At 45.0% G+C, this 18,481-nt stretch overlaps 1 protein-coding gene and 1 pseudogene across 11 annotated transcripts in view, besides 5 other annotated features; both read left to right on the top strand.

The window, feature by feature from the left end:
• Window positions 1-4,555, top strand: part of TUBD1 (tubulin delta 1) — a 33,465-nt gene extending 28,910 nt beyond the window's left edge. For 8 of the 11 annotated variants that reach the window (NM_001193613.2, XM_047436202.1, NM_001193611.2 and 5 more), the window contains 2 exons: window positions 187-370; window positions 3,610-4,555. In NM_001193613.2, the coding sequence (NP_001180542.1) occupies window positions 187-370; window positions 3,610-3,712 (287 nt within the window). In that variant the 3' untranslated portion in view covers window positions 3,713-4,555. The remainder of the gene's footprint in view (window positions 1-186; window positions 371-3,609) is intronic. The other 3 variants (XM_047436200.1, XM_017024716.3, NM_001193610.2) reach the window with 1 other exon arrangement.
• Window positions 9,104-9,718: an enhancer, noted in NCBI's record as "H3K27ac-H3K4me1 hESC enhancer chr17:57931677-57932291 (GRCh37/hg19 assembly coordinates)". NCBI's record gives its function as "activates a minimal SCP1, AML or CMV promoter by ChIP-STARR-seq in primed H9 embryonic stem cells {active_cell/tissue: H9 hESC(primed)}" and the evidence as "EXISTENCE:reporter gene assay evidence [ECO:0000049][PMID:30033119]".
• Window positions 10,707-10,756: an enhancer, noted in NCBI's record as "active region_12519". NCBI's record gives its function as "activates an Ori minimal core promoter by ATAC-STARR-seq in GM12878 lymphoblastoid cells {active_cell/tissue: GM12878}" and the evidence as "EXISTENCE:reporter gene assay evidence [ECO:0000049][PMID:35858748]".
• Window positions 14,647-14,966: an enhancer, noted in NCBI's record as "active region_12518". NCBI's record gives its function as "activates an Ori minimal core promoter by ATAC-STARR-seq in GM12878 lymphoblastoid cells {active_cell/tissue: GM12878}" and the evidence as "EXISTENCE:reporter gene assay evidence [ECO:0000049][PMID:35858748]".
• Window positions 16,369-16,468: a silencer, noted in NCBI's record as "silent region_8783". NCBI's record gives its function as "represses an Ori minimal core promoter by ATAC-STARR-seq in GM12878 lymphoblastoid cells {active_cell/tissue: GM12878}" and the evidence as "EXISTENCE:reporter gene assay evidence [ECO:0000049][PMID:35858748]".
• On the top strand, window positions 16,490-16,596 carry RNU6-450P (RNA, U6 small nuclear 450, pseudogene; annotated as a pseudogene).
• Window positions 16,507-17,495: an enhancer, noted in NCBI's record as "H3K27ac-H3K4me1 hESC enhancer chr17:57923900-57924888 (GRCh37/hg19 assembly coordinates)". NCBI's record gives its function as "activates a minimal SCP1, AML or CMV promoter by ChIP-STARR-seq in naive H9 embryonic stem cells {active_cell/tissue: H9 hESC(naive)}" and the evidence as "EXISTENCE:reporter gene assay evidence [ECO:0000049][PMID:30033119]".

The following is an 18,481-nucleotide window of genomic DNA, read 5'->3' as shown; positions in this document are numbered from 1 at the left end:
CTGGGCTCGAGCAATCTACCCTCCTCCACCTCCTAAATTTCTGGAAGTCTCTGCACCAGCCATCACAAGTTTTAAAAGGCAAAATAAAAGATCTCTGATGAAATAGACAAGAAAATATCTGTTTGTTTGTTTTCACAATTACTAATTTATGCTATAAAAAGACGGCTTATCTTGTTTTTACTCTAGAGGGATTTAAAGATCCAGCTCTGTATACTTCCTGGTTGAAGCCTGTTAATGCTTTCAACGTGTGGAAAACCCAGCGGGCCTTTAGCAAATATGAGAAGTCTGCAGTGTTGGTCAGCAACAGCCAGTTCTTAGTAAAACCACTTGATATGATTGTTGGGAAGGCATGGAATATGTTTGCTTCAAAGTAAGTATAAAATAAGTCTACAAACCTTTCTTTTTTTTTTTTTTTTTGAGACAGAGTCTCACTCTGTTGCCCAGGCTGGAGTGCAGTGGCACGATCTTGGCTCACTGGCTCACTGCAACCTCCGCCTCCCGGGTTTAAGTGATTCTCCTGCTGCAGCCTCCCAAGTAGCTGGGATTACAGGCGCCTACCACCACACCCAGCTAATTTTTGTATTTTTAGTAGAGGCAGGGTTTCACCATGTTGCTCAGGCTGGTCTCGAACTTCTGACCTCGGGATCTGCCCACCTCAGCCTCCCAAAGTGCTGGCATTACAGGCGTAAGCCACCATGCACTGCAGCCTTTCTAACTTATAAGCAGATACTGTAGCGTTAAAGCATGAGGTCCGATCTGCAGGAAGCATAGTTACTACTTTGTAGGTGTGAAGGTATGAAGCCTTGGGCACGTGACTTCAGGCTTCATTGCCTCATCTGTATAAGTGGGTCCTAACTGAGGACATTTCTCACGAGGATTAGATAAGATAATCTTGTAAAACAGCTAGTACAGTGCCTGGCTAGTAAATGCTCAGTAATTGTTTGACATTATTAAAGTAGAATTTTATTATGAAGCAGGGACAATAAGATAGTTTTCAAAAATAACATCAGCCGGGCATGGTGGCTCACACCTGTAATCCCAGCACTTTGGGAGGCTGAGGCGAGCAGATCAGCTGAGGTCAGGATTTCAAGACCATCCTGGCTAACACGGTGAAACCCCGTCTCTACTAAAAATACAAAAAATTAGCCGGGCGTGGTAGCGGGCGCCTGTAGTCCCAGCTACTCGGGAGGCTGAGGCAGGAGAATGGCGTGAACCCGGGAGGCGGAGCTTGCAGTGAGCCGAGATCGCGCCACTGCACTCCAGCCTGGGCGACAGAGCGAGACTCCGTCTCAAAAAAAAAAAAAAAAAAAAAAAAAAAATACAAAAATTAGCTTGGCATAGTGGTGGGTGCCTGTAATCCCAGCTACTTGGGAGGCTGAGGCAGGAGAATCACTTGAACCCAGGAGGTGGAGGTTGCAGAGAGCCGAGACTATGCCATTGCACTCCAGCCTGGGCAACAAGAGCGAGACTCCATCTCAAAAAAAAATTAAATTAAATTAAAAAACATAAGATTCTTGGGAGAGTGGAAGATCCTTATGTTCCTCAATAAGATTATGATTAAATTCAACTTGGTTTGATACTAAGAAATGTCTACTTCATACTAACATGTTTTAGCAGATTTCTTGATCTCTACCACAGTTACTTAAGTCAAAGCAAAATTCTTCAAATGAGTGGACAAGGCTTCTAACTATCTTTTTCTTTTTTTTTTTTGAGATGGAGTTTCGCAGTTGTTGCCCAGACTGGAGTGCAATGGCATGATCTCTGCTCACTGCAACCTCTGCCTCCTGGGTTCAAGCAGTTCTCCTGCCTCAGCCTCCCAAGTAGCTGGGATTACAGGCATGCACCACTACACCGAGCTAATTTTGTATTTTTAGTAGAGACAGGGTTTCTCCATGTTGGTCAGGCTGGTCTCGAACTCCTGACCTCAGGTGATCCGCCCACCTTGGCCTCCCAAGGTGCTGGGATTACCAGTGTGAGCCACTGTGCCCAGCCACCTATAACTTTCATTAGCTCGGATACCCCAGGGCCCAGCCATCCTGCATGTGACCATTCCATAAAACCCCACTCAGGCTGGGTGCAGTGGCTCACACCTGTAATTCCAGCACTTTGGGAGGCCAAGGTGGGCGAATCACAAGATCAGGAGTTTGAGACCAGCCTGGCCAACATGGTGAAACCCCGTCTCTACTAAAAACACAAAAAACAGCTGGGCGTGGTGGCGGGCACCTGTAATCCCAGCTACTTGGGAGGCTGAGGCAGGAGACTCACTTGAACCTGGGAGGTGGAGGTTGTGGTGAGCCAAGATGATGCCACTGCACTCCAGCCCAGGCAACAGTGCAAAACTCTGTCTCAAAAACAAACAAACAAACAAACAAAAAAACCCACTCCACAGGGCCATGAAGTCTGTCCTCTTCTGGTGTCATTCCCTTCCTACTCTCGTTAAATGGTAGCAGCCATTATTATGTCAATTTAATTCATGTCTGCCCTTGATATTCTTTTTGCACATGATTTTTGTGCCTCAGAACATTTGCAGGGAGCAGCCAGGCATGGTGGCTCACGCTTGTAACCCCAGCACTTTGGAAGGCCAAGGCAGGTGGATCACTTGAGGCCAGGAATTCAAGACCAGCCTGGCCAACATGGTGAAACCCCACCTCTACTAAAAATGCAAAAATTAGCCAGGTGTGGTGGTACGCACCTGTAATTCCCGCTACTTGGGAGGCTGAGGCACAAGAATTGCTTCACCCCAGGAGGCAGAGGTCACAGTGAGCCGAGATCACACCACTGCACTCCATCCTGGGTGACAGAGACAGAGCAAAACCCTGTCTCAAAAAAAAAAAAAAATTTTGTGGGGTGGGAGGGATTGAGAGGACCACCCTGGCATAACTACAAATTAAATGTCCTGGGAGCACCTGGGAGGCTTCACTCCATTCCTAGAACTGGACTGATGTGTTTTCTAGTTTCAAGGCTTATATGAAACTTTTCAGGCACTTTTCAGAGTTTATACTGAATATAGGGTGTTATATATGTATATATATATATACTGAGTAGATAGCCAAATCTGAACATGCTGCTCTTTCCCGGGTGCCTCTCCTTTGCCAGTTTTTTGGACACTGAAAAAACAGGGAGCTTGACATAAATTTTGAAAGTTCAGGCTGGGCGTGGTGGCTCACACCTGTAATCCCAGCACTTTGGGAGGCCGAGGCGGGTGGATCACCTAAGGTTGGGAGTTCCAGAGCAGCCTGGCCATTATGGTGAAACCCCGTCTCTACTAAAAATACAAAAATTAGCTGGGTGTGGTGGCACGTTCCTGTAATCCCAGCTACTCGGGAGGCTGAGGTAGTCGAATCGCTTGAACCTGGGAGGTGGAGGTTGCAGTGAGCCGAGATCATGCCACTGCACTCCAGCCTAGGTGACAGAGCAAGACTCTGTCTCAAAAAAAAAAAAGAAAGTTCACTAATCTTTGGAGTAAACAAAGCAAATGTAAGACTTCTGAACGATTGTGTGATCTTCAAATGTTCATCAGCTAGAAAAGGTCTGTTTATTGTTTAAGAGTTACTCATTTGCCAGACATTTTTTATTTTGTAATTTCTGTTTTTTTTTTTTTTCTACCAGAGCCTACATTCATCAGTACACAAAATTTGGAATCGAAGAAGAGGACTTTTTAGACAGTTTCACGTCATTAGAGCAGGTTGTTGCCAGTTACTGTAATCTCTGATCTTGAACAATGGGAAAAGTATACCTTAAGGCATTTCTGGACTAAAATATTTTCAATACTATTTTCTCTGTAAAGTTTTCAAAGTTCTCCATCCTGGCTAACACGGTGAAACACCGTCTCTACCAGAAAATACAAAAAATTAGCCAGGCGCGGTGGCGGGTGCCTGTAGTCCCAGCTACTCGGGAGGCTGAGGCAGGAGAATGACGTGAACCCAGGAGGCGGAGCTTGCAGTGAGCCGAGATCGCGCCACTGCACTCCAGCCTGGGCGACAGAGCGAGACTCCGTCTCAAAAAAAAAAAAAAAAAAAAATGTTTTCAAAGTTCCATTCTGTTAAAGTAACCACGTAGAATGCTGAGTCTATTCTGCATACTATGCCCACAGAAAAGGAAGAAAACTTTTTAAAATGGAGAATCGCATGTTTTCAATGAAAACATTCACTTGGTATTTCATTTGTAAGAAAAAAAAATGGTGCTTTTATAAAGAACTTTGGGGAAACACTTTGCTGAAATGTTGGGACTCTGGAACTAGCCAAGAAAAGAGAATATTCTCTTTGTCTACATGTTCCTAAATCTTTACTCCAAAACAACTCCAAAAACAACTCACAAAGCATGAACCAAACTTTCACAGCATAATTTCAAGCTAAGGAATTGTAATTCTGTACTTAATATATTCATGTTTGAAATGAATGCTTTGAACCACAGGAGGGAGATGTTGTCAAATGCTACAGTGTGAACATGTATTTTGAATATTCTGTAACAGGGCAAGTTTCCACTCTAAGCAGCTATTTAAAAATAAATATGAGGATTTTGGTAATAAATGCTTATGCTTAAGTACAAAAGTAAATAGGTAAATGTGTACTTAGTGTGCTTTTCTTAAACTTTTTGGGCATGAGAAAATTGGCTCAAATTTTGTTTTGGATCTTGGAATGCCAGAGCAGATATTGATTTTATTCAATTATTGCTTTAAAATTACTTATAATGGGCTGGGCATGGTGGCTCACACCTGTAATCCCAACACTTTGGGAGGGCAAAGTGGGAGGATCACTTGAGGCCAGGAGTTTGAGACCAGCCTGAGAAATACAGTAAGACCCCCATCTCTCCAAAAAAAAAAAAAAATTTTAATTAGCTGGGTGTGGTGGCATACACTTGTGGTCTGAGCTACTTTGGAGGTTTGGGTGGGAGGATCACTTGAGCCTGGGAGGTCGAGGCTGCAGTGAACTGGTATCGTGCCTCTGCATTCCAGCCCGGGTGACAGAGTAAGACTGTCTCCAAAAAAAAAAAAAAAGAATGAAATTACTTATAGGTATTCAGCTGGTACAGATGATGGTTATATGCTTTTCAGTAAAAGGGGTAAGAATTTTCACCTAAATTTTTCACTAAGTTGAGAAAATTATCACCAAGGAAATATAGTTACTTGATGAAATTGACGCACAAGATACGGGTTTCACCCAAGACAAAACGTGCTTGGAAATTGACAACTGAGTTTGAAGGGAATGTTGTATTTCCATAAAACACATCACATGCAATATATTAACAAATGTAAAATGATTAACAAATAGGAACATTTGCCCTTTCTGCCAAATCTACCAATAGTGACTTTTATATGGAAAAATGACAGTTCACAGCTTCACTGGTTCTTCTTTTTCTTTCCATATGGAAATGATTACCTTTTTGCTGTTTTTCTTATCAACTGTTGCTATGATTTAAAATACTGAACCATATCTTATTTGTAAGGAATGTAAAAAGTGGTCGGTTCTGCTGCTAAAAGGCACACCCCGCTGCTGCATTTCGTTAAGCCAAGTACACTTGAAAAATAATTAGATCATAATTTTTACCAAACAAGTTAAAGTAATTGTTTAAGCATTGAAGAGATCCACAGACTGAAACAATTTCCCAGACTAAACCAGCATTCATGAAGATCTGTAACTGAGTATCTCACCAGGGGTTAATCTGATTCTGAGGAACCTTACTAGAAGTTAACTTGAAAGAAAGTCGTAAGTTGAAATCATTTGATATTTGAGAAAATTCATGAGGTACCAATAGGGGCAAGTATATTTCTAATTTGGCAACTCGTGGAATCATTAGCAGGTGAACATTAGAAGCAAATCCCAACTAGACAGAGCTCTGGGTCCATTTACTTATGCTATTTGACCCTTTTTTATGATCCACAACTGCATTATTTGATATGTATGGTTACCTATTACATATATATGTGTGTGTGTGTGTGTGTATGTATTTTTTTTTTTTTTGAGACAGCGTCTCGCTCTGTCACCCAGGCTAGAGTGCAGTAGCATGATCTCAGCTCACTGCAGCCTCAACCTCCCAGGCTCAAGCAATCCTCCCACCTTAGACTCACTAATAACTGGGACTATAGGTGTGCACCACCATGCCCAGCTAATTTTTGTATTTTTGGTAGAGACGAAGTTTCCTCATGTTGCCTGGGCTGGTTTCAAACTCCTGGGCTCAGGCTATCTACCTGCCTCGGCCTCCCAAAGTGCTGAGATTACAGGCGTGAGCCACCATACCTGGCCAATGCCTAAATATTTTAAAGCTTGGGTTAAAACATTCACATGGAAAATAATTTTTTCTTGTCTACTTGGAATAACAAAATTTTTGCTCTTAAAGTTGTGATTTTAAGTTAAAAATTAACACCAAGATGCTGATGTCAAAACTTCAGATGGAGTGGCATTGGAAATGTGCTTTGATTTGTGTGGAGATAATGGCCAGTCAGCCAGGAGGACAACATTGGCTCCCTTAGCTCCTGGGCATACAGATCCAGAAAACTTTGAAAGTGTAATTTCTTAGATTATGGGATAACTGGCACATTACGTTGTCAAACATTATCCTGCAGAGCCAGAATGCACCCCTGTGGACAATGAGCACAGTGTGAATGCATACTGTTTCTTATTGTCAAGCTCTTTCTCTCTTACCTCCCCAATCTTTCCTCAAGAGCTTAAGCTGTAGAACCTGTTTTTTCCCATGCATTCGCCACTTCCAGCCCTGGGATCTCCCCGAAAACTCCCCTCCCCTATCCACCCTTACTATTCAATCTACAACATCTTTCAACATCTTTCTCCTATATTTTACCCATCACTTAGAACTCACTAAGTATGCCAACAATTCACTATTATCAGCCAATTCATCCATTCAACCAGTATCATCTATTCAGTGCCAGGCACTGAGGAAGATGTTAAGGATACAGGGATCAATGCTACCTTGTCTGAAGAAGCTTTTTGGGATGTTTAGTGCTACAATTCTAGCTTCCTAATTATTGCTTGTTATCTTGCCTGTGTGCATATTCACCTTTTTTCCAGGAAAGAATGTGGTCCAAGAAAGAAAGAAAGAACAATGAACTCAGAGCTCTGGTCTGGGCTAGGCTTAAGTGTTGAAATGTCTCTTCACTGGCTCTGTAGGCTCTATAAACTCTACTTTGCAGTATACATACTAGTGATTCTCCTGACCACCATGTGTATCACACTTGAATTCCTGTCCAAAATTTTCTTTTAAAACATACTGCATATGTCCCTAACCCACTATCTTCTCTCATGAGCCCAAAGTTTAGCAGATACCCCTTTCTTGTTCTGCCACCTACCCACCAAATATGGCTTTAACCACTAGCTTGTCATTTTGGGCCAACAATCATTTATTTTATTTTATTTTATTTTTGAGATGATAGGGTCTCACTCTCTTGCCCAAGCTGGAGTGCAGTGGTGTAATCATGGCTCACTGCAGCCTCAACCTCCCAAGCTCAAGTGATCCTCCTGCCTCAACCTCCTGAGTAGCTGGGGCTGCAGTGGTACACCACTACACTCGGCTAATTTTTTTTATTTTTAGTAGAGACAAGGTCTGACTATGTTGCCCAGGCTGGTCTCAGACTCTGAGGCTCAAGTAATCCTCCTACCTCAGCCTCCCAATGGCCCTCCCTCCTTGGATTACAGGTGTGAGCCACTGCACCTGGCCAACCAACAGTCATTTATGTTAAGAGATATTTCCTCAACTGTATCAATCATATTGTTTCCTATGGGTTTGAGGAATGTGAGCTAAAAAAACTGGCTTTAGCCAGGCACGGTGGCTTACGACTGTAATCCCAGCACTTTGGAAGGCTGAGGCGGGTGGATCACCTGAGGTTAGGAGTTCAAGACCAGCCTGACCAACATGGTGAAACCCCGTCTCTATTAAAAATACAAAAAATTAGCTGGGTGTGGTGATGCACGTCTGTAATCCCAGCTACTTGGGAGGCTGAGGCAGGAGAATCGCTTGAATCCGGGAGGCCAAGGTTGCAGTGAGCTGAGATCATGCCACTACATTCTAGCCTGGGCGACAGAGCAAGACTCCATGTCAAGAAAAAAAAAAAAAAAGCAAAAAACTGGCTTTATATTTTTAAATAACTTCCTACTCCTACACCCTGAAATGTCTCAGATGATGCAATGTCAATCTTATTAATAGATGGAAAACCATTTCCGCAAGCAGGAATGCTTGCACAAGGAGTTAAGATAAACAACGTAAATATTTCAAGTTTCTGGGAAACAATGTCAGGTCAGTGTATGGCATTCCAGCTGTGGAAAAGGGGAAAAGATACAAAGTCCTAATCATTTGACTCTAGGGAGCCAGTGAAACAGGAAGAGATGAAAAGAAAGGTCAGGGGAATTGATCATGCCCCCAAAGAACTGCTAAAAAAGAAACTTGATGGGTTTTGAATTATAAACTTTACCTAATATAAGCCAAAAATAAAATTCTAAGCCTTCGAACATCTGAATGGATCCCTCCTATCGGCAAGGGCATTCCAAAGCTAACCTGAGAAACTGTTTCAGGCCATGATGGAAAGGGGGTAGGGTCGGACAGATTTATACCCTGTTCCCTTTTGGAATTCCTGATAGAACAGACTCTTTTTTTTGTTTGTTTTTTGAGACTGAGTCTCGCTGTGTCTCCCAGGCTGGAGTGCAGTGGCGCGATCTCAGCTCACTGCAAGCTCCACCTCCTGGGTTCATGCCATTCTCCTGCCTCAGCCTCCGGAATAGCTGGGACTACAGGCGCACGCCACCACGCCCGGCAAATTTTTTTTTTTGTATTTTTAGTAGAGATGGGGTTTCACCATGTTAGCCAGGATGGTCTCGATCTCCTGACCTCGTGATCCGCCCGCCTCAGCCTCCCAAAGAGCTGGGATTACAGGCGTCAGCCACCGCACCCAGCCAGAACAGACTCTTTTACGTCTGGTAACAAACATTTACACTCATTGTTCTCTCCCTCCAAAGCCTGTTACCTGGAGGCTTCACCTGCATAAAACCTTGGTCTCCACAACCCCTTATCTCAACCCAGATGTTCCAAAGTTTTTAGACGATAACGTAACTCTTTCAGCCAATTAAAAAAAAATTTTTTTCTTTTGACACAGAGTCTTGCTCTGTCACCTAGGCTGGTACGCAGTGGTGCAATCTTGGGTCATGGCAACCTCTGCCTCTCAGGTTCAAGCGATTCTCCTGCCTCAGCCTCCCAAGTAGCTGGGGTTACAGGCCTATGCCAAAACACCCGGCTAATTTTTGTACTTTTTTTTTTTAGTAGAGATGGGGTTTAGTAGAGACGGGGCCTCCTAAAGCACTGGGATTATAGGCGTGAGCCACCGTGCCTGGCCTTGATTATTATTATTTTTGAGACAGAGTCTCACTTTGTCGCCCAGGCTGGAGTGCAGTGGTGCAATCATGGCCCACTGCAGCCTTGACCTCCTCTGGCTCCAGCCATCCTCCCACCTCTATCTCCTGAGTAGCTGGGACCACAGCTGTGTGCCACAACGCCCTGCTAATGTTTGTATTTTTTGCACAGACAGGGTTTTCTTCATTTTTACCAGGCTGGTTTCAAACTCCTGAGCTCAAGCAATCCACCGGCCTCAGCCTCCCAAAGTGCTGGGATAACAGACATGAGCCACTGTGCCTGACATCACTTTTTCTTTCCTTTTTTTTTTTTTTTTTTGAGACAGAGTCTCAGTCTGTCACCCAGACTAGAATGCAGTGGCACAATCTTGGCTCACTGCAACCTCCACCTCCTGAGCTCAAGCAATCCTCCCACCTCAGCCTCCTGAGTAGCTGGGAAAGCAGGCGCCACCATGCTTGGCTAATTTTTAAATATTTTGTAGAGACGAGGTTTCATTATATTGTCCGGGCTGGTCTCAAATTCCTGGGCTCAAGTGATCTTCCCACCTCAGCCTCCTAAACTGCTGGGATGACAGGCGTGAGCCACTGTGTCCAGCCCTTTTTTATACTTTTTGAAACATAGCAAGTAAATTGTTTATTGTTATTGTCATTTTTGAGACAGTTTTGCTCTTGTTGTCCAGACTGGAGTGCAATGGTGCAGTCTAGGCTCACTGCAACCTCTGCCTCCTAGGTTCAAAAGATTCTCCCGCCTCAGCCTCCTAAGTAGCTGGGATTACAGGCATGCGCCACCACGCCCAGCTAATTTTGTATTTTTAGTAGAGACGGGGTTTCTCCATGTTGGTCAGGCTGGTCTCAAACTCCCAACCTCAGGTAATCCACCTGCCTCGGCCTCCCAAAGCGCTGGGATTACAGGCATGAGCCACCGTGCCTGGCAGTACATTGTTTTAAAATGAGGTATATGGGTTGCAGTGTTATTTCTATGAGACAGGCTGTTCTAAACATTCCAGGAGCAAACTGCTGGGAATTGTAGAAACTGGAGTTGAACAGAATTTGTCCTTACTAGGTGAGAGGTCATGGGAACATGATGGTAAGAAACATGACAAAAGGCAAAAGATGGGAGTTTCCTTTTTGATGAAAAAAAGGCCTTTGCTTAAGCTCGACTCATGCGATGAGTATGAAAGAGGCAGGATGTGAGCTTAATTCAACAAACATCGACTGAACACCTGCAAGGAAGGACACTGTGCTAGGGCGGGGTAATAATGAGTTAGACCTGGCCTCCGGCCACTAGGAGGCCACCGCTTGGCATATTGTTTGCTGCAGAGCATACGCCTGACTCATGGTAAAGACTCCATGTTTACTGAACAGATTCATATCAATGTCTAAAACTCTGGAAGACAGGTAAAGCTGCAACACTACAGTCACACAGTGAATGAAGCCCGTTAAAGCCCCCATTATGAGACAATTTGAAGAGTGGAGGAATGTCTGGTAAATCAGAAGATGGTAATAAGTAGTAGTAAGAAACATCTTTGGGCTAGTCACGGTGGCTCATGCCTGTAATCCCAGCACTTTGAGAGGTTGAGGTGGGCAGATCACTTGAGGCAAGGAGTTTGAAACCAGCCTGGCCAACATGGTGAAACCCGTCTCTATGAAAAATACAAAAATTAGCTGGGCATGGTGGCGCATGCGCCTGTAGTCCCAGCACTTCGGGAGTCTGAGGTTGGCAGATAACTTGAGGTCAGGAGTTTGAGACCAGCCTGGCCAATATAGCGAAACGCTGTCTCTACTAAAAATACAAAAATTAGCCAAGTGTAATGCATCTGTAATCCCAGCTACTCTGGAGGTGGAGGCATGAGAATTGCTTGAGCCTGGGGTAGGCAGAGGTTGCAGTGAGCCAAGATCGTGCCAGTGAACTCCAGCCTGGGCAACAGAGTGAGACTCTGTCTTAAAAAAAAAATTATTCTGTAAATTGTCACATAGATGGGGTGTAGGAACTCCTGGACACTCCAAGGTCATCCAGGTGGCACAGGAAGAAGGGAGAAATTAAAGATTAACTTTGGGGTCTTAATTGTCTCAACATGTTCTTCTAATGAACACTGCCTACTTCAGGGAAGACTAATAAATATACCACAAAAAATAAATGAAACAGTCTAAAAAGAAGTATATAAAGTAGGAAAACTTTTGTGTATGAAAGAAGTTTTTACTTCTTACAGAGACCAGGGAGTCTTTTATGCTCAGATGAATTCTTTATAATTGAAGAAGAAAATGCAGAACATCTGAAAACTTCTTTGATCTCATACATTTTTCTAAAAGCAGTGCCCTCCCTTTTCCTTCTGAGATTGTGCAAAGTACTTTCATATACACTTTCTACCAGGAAGACATCTCATTATGTCTGATTCCATCAGAAAGCCGGGAACAGTGACACCCCAGTCCTCCCAGGCTTTGAGAACTACGCATCCACGTGGGAGTGGAACATACAAGCAGATCTTTCCCTCTGAACTCTGGTACTTCTGGAGAGTGGTGTCATTGTGGTTATATGTTGTTTATTCCGAGCTCCTAGCCAGCCAACTTCAATAAGCAATAACTCATTTACTGAAACATGTAAACAGGCTCAGCACCAAAGCAGCCACATGGAAAGCCGCCTCGACCACATGCTCCAGAAGGTGTAACAAAGTCGTGATTCTGCCTTTTGGCTTGGCAAAGGCAGTTGGGAAGATGCCCTCACACTGACTTGGGAGCACTCCTGACCTCTGGGTTCTAGGATGCAGCCGCTGCTGTCTAGGCTAGCACTGCTGGAATCTTGGACTCCGGTAGAAACATACAGGAAATCACATTGCCAAACTTTTCTCCTTATAAAGACAGATGATCTCTCCAGGAACTACCATCCTCTCAGTTCTCAAAGGGAGGGGCCGTTGGTTAAGCCAGCGGGATACTGGGGAGAGGAATTTTAAAAGTTTACTGTGGCCTTAAGGTCCAGTCACAGTGCCATCTCTTTAACAGCACCACCACATAACACGGCTTAAGGACCTGTTACCCTGGAGAATTCTCTGAAGAAGTCCAGCTTATTCACTGACAGAAGTTACAGTGTGGTGTAAAGAACGGCATATTCACTAGGAGTTTAGGAGTTAGGAAGCCTAAGATAGAGAATATTACAGGCCCCACCATCCTATTGGTCATTATCGCCCCTCCACATATTCAAAACAGAATAGTCTGTCTTCCTCAGACTTGCCTCCTTTATATTCCTGGCTTGGGGATGGGCATTGCTGTCTTTTCAGGGGTTCTTTGGGTCCTTCCTCGCCATTTTCTTTCTTTTTTTTTTTTTTTTAGATGGCGTCTCTCTCTGTTGCCCAGGCTGGAGTGCAGTGGCGCAATCTCGGCTCACTGCAACCTCTGCCTCCCGGGGTTCAAATGATCCTCCCATCTCAACCCCCCAAGTAGCTGGACCTACAGTAGAGTTTCAACCTGCCCAGCTATTTTTTTATTTTTATTTTTTTTGAGACAGAGTTTCGCTCTTGTTGCCCAGGCTACGGTGCAATGGCACGATCTCGGCTCACCACAACCTCTGCCTCCCAGGTTCAAGCAATTCTCCTGCCTCAGCCTCCCAAGTAGCTGGGATTACAGGCATGTGCCACCATGCCTGGCTAATTTTGTATTTTTAGTGGAGATGGGGTTTCTCCATGTTGGTCAGGCTGGTCTCGAACTCCTGACTTCAGGTGATCTGCACGTCTTGGTCTCCCAATGTGCTGGGATTACAAGCGTGAGCCACTGCACCCGGCCCAATTTTTCGTATTTTTAGTAGAGTCGGGGTTTCACCATGTTGGTCAGGCTGGTCTTGAACTCCTGAGTTCAGGTGATCCACCAGCCTCTGCCTCCCAAAATGCTAGGATTACAGGCATGAGCTACCACCCCGGTCACCCATTGTTTTTCTAATGCTTTTTTTTTCTCTCTCTCTCTCTCTCTTTCTCATTTTTTTCTTTTTCTTTTCTTTCTTTTTTTTTTGGGGGGGGGAGATAGTCTCCCTCTGTCACCCAGGCTATAGTGCAGTGGCTCTATCTCGGCTCACTGCAACCTCTGCCTGCCAGGTTCAAGCAATTCGCCTGCCTCAGCCTCGAGTAGCTGGGACTACAGGCACCCGCCACAACCCCTGGCTAATTTTTGTATTTTTAGTAGAGACGGGTTTTCACCATGTTGGCCAGGCTGGTCTCAAACTCCTGACCTCAGGTGATCCGCCCGTCTCTGCCTGCCAGTGTTGGGATTACAGGCGTGAGCCACCACGCCCGGCCGGTATGCAGTTGTTTTTTTTTTTTTTGAGACGGAGTCTCGCTCTTTCGCCCAGGCCGGACTGCAGTGGCACTATCTCAGCTCACTGCAACCTGTGCCTCCTGGGTTCATGCCATTCTCCGGCCTCATCCTCCTGAGTAGCTGGGACTACAGGCATCCGCCACTGCACCCAGCTAAGTTTTTGCATTTTTAGTAGAGACAGGGTTTCACCGTATTAGCCAGGATGGTCCCAATCTCCTGACCTTGTGATCTGCCTGCTTGGCCTCCCAAAGTGCTGGGATTACAGGCATGAGCCACCGCGCCCAGCCCCAGTATGCAGTTTTTTTAAAAAAAAAAATCTTAGTAGCTATCTTTTTAAGGAATAGAATGGGGGGCAGGTTTGCCCTAAGCAGTTCCCAGCTTGACTTTTCTTTGGCTTAGTGATTTTGGGGTCCCAAGATTTATTTTCCTTTCACCGGGCTTATGTTCTAGTGTCGCAAGCACTAGCAAGAAAATAGACAAACTAGTTGTGAATTTGGTCGGTACTTTAAGGAAACTAAACAGCGAGCTAAGGCAGAGCTACAGAGGACTCGAGTGGAAAACCTGATGCTGTCTTTCTCCCCACCCTACACATAGCCCCTTATTTGTTCTTTCCTGGTGTCTGAGTTTTTTTCTGGTTAGAATACCTTTCGTTTCACTCCCTCTACCTTGTCAATTCAAATACTACTCCCCTCAGGAAACTTTTGTTTTGTTTTTTTGAGACAGGGTCTCACTTTGTCACCTGGTCAACCAGGCTGGAGTGCAGTGGTGCAACCTTGGCTCACTGCAACCTCTGCCTCCCGGGTTCAAGCAATCCTCATGCCTCAGCCTCCCAAGTAGCTGGGATTACAGACATGCATCACTACGCCCAGCGAACTTTTGTATTTTTAGTAGAGACAGGGTTTTGCCATGTTGGGCCAGGCTGGTCTTGAACTCCTGGCGACAGGTGATCCTCCCACCTCATCCTCTTAAAGTGCTAGGATTATAGGCATAAGCCACGGTGCCCAGCCCTGTATTCACTTTTTAAATCCCCACTGGTGTAAGGTGCTGTGAAGAAGAGACAAAGTTGTCGATACAGATCTCCTCCCTCCAGGACCCTGCAGTCTTCTTAGGGATTTTATTCATATATGCAGATAACTATAATACAGAGTGAGGTGAGGGCCGTAAGAAAGGAAGTGTGAAGAGATCATTGCTGACAAGGAAAGATCAGAAAAGGGTTTCCTAGCCGAGTGCAGTGGCTCACACCTGTAATTCCAGCACTTTGGGAGGCCGAGGCAGGTGGATTGATTGAGCTCAGGAGTTTAAAACCAGCGTGGTCAACGTGGTGAAACCCTGTCTCTACTAAAAAAAAAAACTACAGAAATTAGCTGGGTGTGGTGGTGCAGCTCTGTAGTCCCAGCTACTGGTGGGGAGTGGGGCGGCTGTGGCGGGAGGATTGCTTGAGCCTGGGAGGTGGAGGTTGCAGTCAGCTGTGGCTGTGATTGCGCCACTGTACTTCAGCTTGGGCAACAGAGTGAAACCCTGTCTCAAAACAAAACCCAAACTCAAGACATTAAAATACTTTGAAAAATAAAAAAAGGCTGTAGAAATAGAAATTACTTTTACCCAAGTGTGGTGGTGAGTGCCTGTAGTCCCAGCTACTCGGGAGGCTGAGGCGGGAGGATGACTTGAGCCCAGGAGTTGGAGTTCGGCCTGGGTAACATGGGAGACCCCATCTCCTTAAAACAAACAAACAAAAAACCTTGCTTTTAAATCATAATTATAGCAAACACCACTCTGGGAATCTGCCCACATGGATGGCTAAGAATGGAGCTTGCTTTTCCAACCCTGTGATACAGGGAAGAGTAAAGTCTGCTTATCTATTTAAATAGCAAAATTTGAGGTTGTGGCCTTGATTTTCTGTTATCTTCCTTTCTCCATCAACTACCTGTGATCAGGGCCGGGCGCGGTGGCTCACACCTGTAATCTCAGCACTTTGGGAGGCCGAGGCGGGCGGATCACGAGGTCAGGCGATTGAGACCATCCTGGCTAACACGGTGAAACCCCGTCTCTACTAAAAATACAAAAAATTAGCTGGGCGAGGTGGCGGGCGCCTGTAGTCCCAGCTACTCGGGAGGCTGAGGCAGGAGAATGGCTTGAACCCGGGAGGCGGAGCCTGCAGTGAGCGGAGATCGCCCCACTGCACTCCAGCCTGGGCGACAGCGAGACTCCATCTCAAAACAAACAAATAAACAACAACAACAACAACAAAAAAAAAACAAAAAAAACTACCTGTGATCACAAGATGAAACAAGTATGCTGAAGCTTGGACTTTTGCACTGATTTCTACAGAACAGAGTAGTTCAGAGCCAGAACGCCTCTGCTGCCTGCTCTACTTCCTTGTTTCCCTTGACAAATTACTGAACCACCCTGCCTTAATTTCCTCATGGGGTTGTTAAGTACAACACATGTGAAACAGCCCTGAAAATAATGCCTGGTACAAAGCAAACAATCATTATCAAAAGTTGTAGTAATCCACTGTGCTTCCTGGTACAGGGCACGCCAGAGTTCCCGGGAGCTAATCTTGATTGCTGGTGCTCCGTGTGGTTGTTGTGTACAAAGAAATTACCATGGAGGGAACATGGAGATGGGAAAGGGCTGGTGCAATGGGCAGAATGAAGAGGTGTCTGAAGAACCAACAACCTGAGGCTAGGCAGGAACATCTGGCAGCTCTCAGAGAGGTTTAGCAGTCCTTACTCAAGTGCAACTGACTGTGAGGTGCACTAAAGAGTGAAAGGCAGAGAAAGGCCTCCCTGCCTTAGTCTTGGCCTTCATCTTCTTAACTAATGAAAAGAAGCTGGGTGCTTGCTTTGGCAGCACATACACCAAAATTGGAACAATATACAGAAGATTAGCATGGCCCCTGCACAAGAATGACACTCAAATTTGTGTTCTGTATTAAAAAAAAAAAAAAAAAAAAAAAAGGCTGGGCATGGTGGTTCATGCTTGTAATCCCAGCACTTTGGGAGGCCGAGGCGGGTGGATCACCTGAGGTTAGGAGTTCGAGACCAGCCTGGCCAACATGATGAAACCCCGTATCTACTGAAAAAAATACAAAAAATTAGCCGAGTGTGGTGGCATGCACCTGTAATCCCAGCTACTTGAGAGGCTGAGGCAGGAGAATCGCTTTGAACCTGGAAGGCGGAGGCTGCAGTGAGCCGAGATTGCGCCACTGCACTCCAGCCTCGGCAACAAGAGTGAAACTCCGTCTCAAAAGAAAAAAAAAAAAGTTGGGAAAAACATGGTTCTCCAGGGCCGTGGCAAGCCAGGCTTCTGCACTACTGCCAAGAGGAGTGAACTTGAGCTGCTTTTCGTTTCCTCCACACAACATGGTGAGGAGCCAAAGGAAGACAGTGATCTAAGTCATTCCCCACCTTCAGGCGGCACCATCCCTGTTTTCAAATCCCTAACTGCCTCACTCCCCTAAAGCATTTTTTCCCCGCTGGAAACAGACTGGAACACAATTAAGCAATGTTGATCACTGCTTCAGTCAAAAGTGGTCTGAAGGGAAAAGCTGATGTGTTTTGTCCCCCAAAAGGGATAGATGGCCTCAAAGGAAAATGTCGCATTTGGATTAGATTTGTGGTAGGGGAGGAGTGACCTGCCAAGGGCTCCTTGAATAAACAAAACTGTTCCTCAAAGGGCTTTGGGTGGAGGTCATCAAAGCAAGTTCACAGAAAGATCCTCCTCCCTGGTAACTCTCCAGAGATGGCTGACTCTTTGCTTACATAGGTAGCTCAGGGGTCCCACTTGAAGTCAGTTGCCCAGAATAAGCCAGAGCCTGCCCCCTCAAGAATTCAGGAATGTGGTTTCCAATGCAAATAAAGGCTAAATTGTAGAAACAGTGCTGGAGTGTGTTCAAGCCCTCCCTCTAGGTCCTCTGAGTCATTTGGAAATGGTTAACAAACAGGTTGGACACCTGGGTTGATTACTGCTGAAGGGGATTTCCACACAAACCCTATACTGTAAAATCATCCTCTTGCCTTCCCAAAGCAATTCAGTTCCACTTTCTAGATCGAATGTGCCTTAAAGATTCCAAATGTCCTAAATCAGATCCTAGGGTTCCTAAATTAGAGCAGCAACTGCTGCTGACACAAAGAAACAAGGAGCCAAGCAACTTTGTGCTTAAAAAAAAAAAAAAAAAAAGTTTATTTTAAATTAAGAGGAACAGATGTCCAATGTTTCAAAAAGCCACACATTTGTGGATTTGGCTGACAAACTCTCTAAGCTGCATTTTATTTCTGTTCCCATAGAGTCAGCTAGCCACTTGCAACTGACTCACTTCTCTCTGGGCCACAGTTTGGGCCAGTCTCCTGACTACAGAATTAGAATCCAGATATCAAATGAATCCAGGGTGCTTGGGTGGAGAGCAGGTGTTAAAAGCCATCTAAAACCACCCCTTCCCTGCTTTAATTTAGGAGTATCAACACCCACACAGCAAACTGCAAGGCTAGTGGGTCAAAGAGAATGAGCAAACAGTTGGCACCTGCCAATCCCAGCACCACGCAATTTTAAAGGCAATGAGTAAGCAGCTGTCTGGAACAGGTTTTTGTATAATCCTTCTTAAGAGTACTGGTTAAATATGCAAATACACACAGGTTATTTGCTGCAATTCAAGGCCTCGCCCCCAAGGCAAATGCATTACCTCAGGTGAACTCTTGGCCTTGTTGGGAAGGGATAGGATCCCTAGCTCCTGTCCACCAGACACTAATGACTCAGTTGCTTCTAAAGTTTAAAATACATGATGTGCTTTCTCTTCTTGTTGTCTTTGAGAATAAATAAATTTACCTTCA

This window comes from Homo sapiens, chromosome 17 (assembly GCF_000001405.40).
Source record: "Homo sapiens chromosome 17, GRCh38.p14 Primary Assembly".
In the NCBI taxonomy this organism is placed as follows: domain Eukaryota; kingdom Metazoa; phylum Chordata; class Mammalia; order Primates; family Hominidae; genus Homo; species Homo sapiens.
The sequence above is the reverse complement of the archived record's forward strand: the minus strand, read 5'-3'. Positions and strand labels throughout refer to the sequence as shown.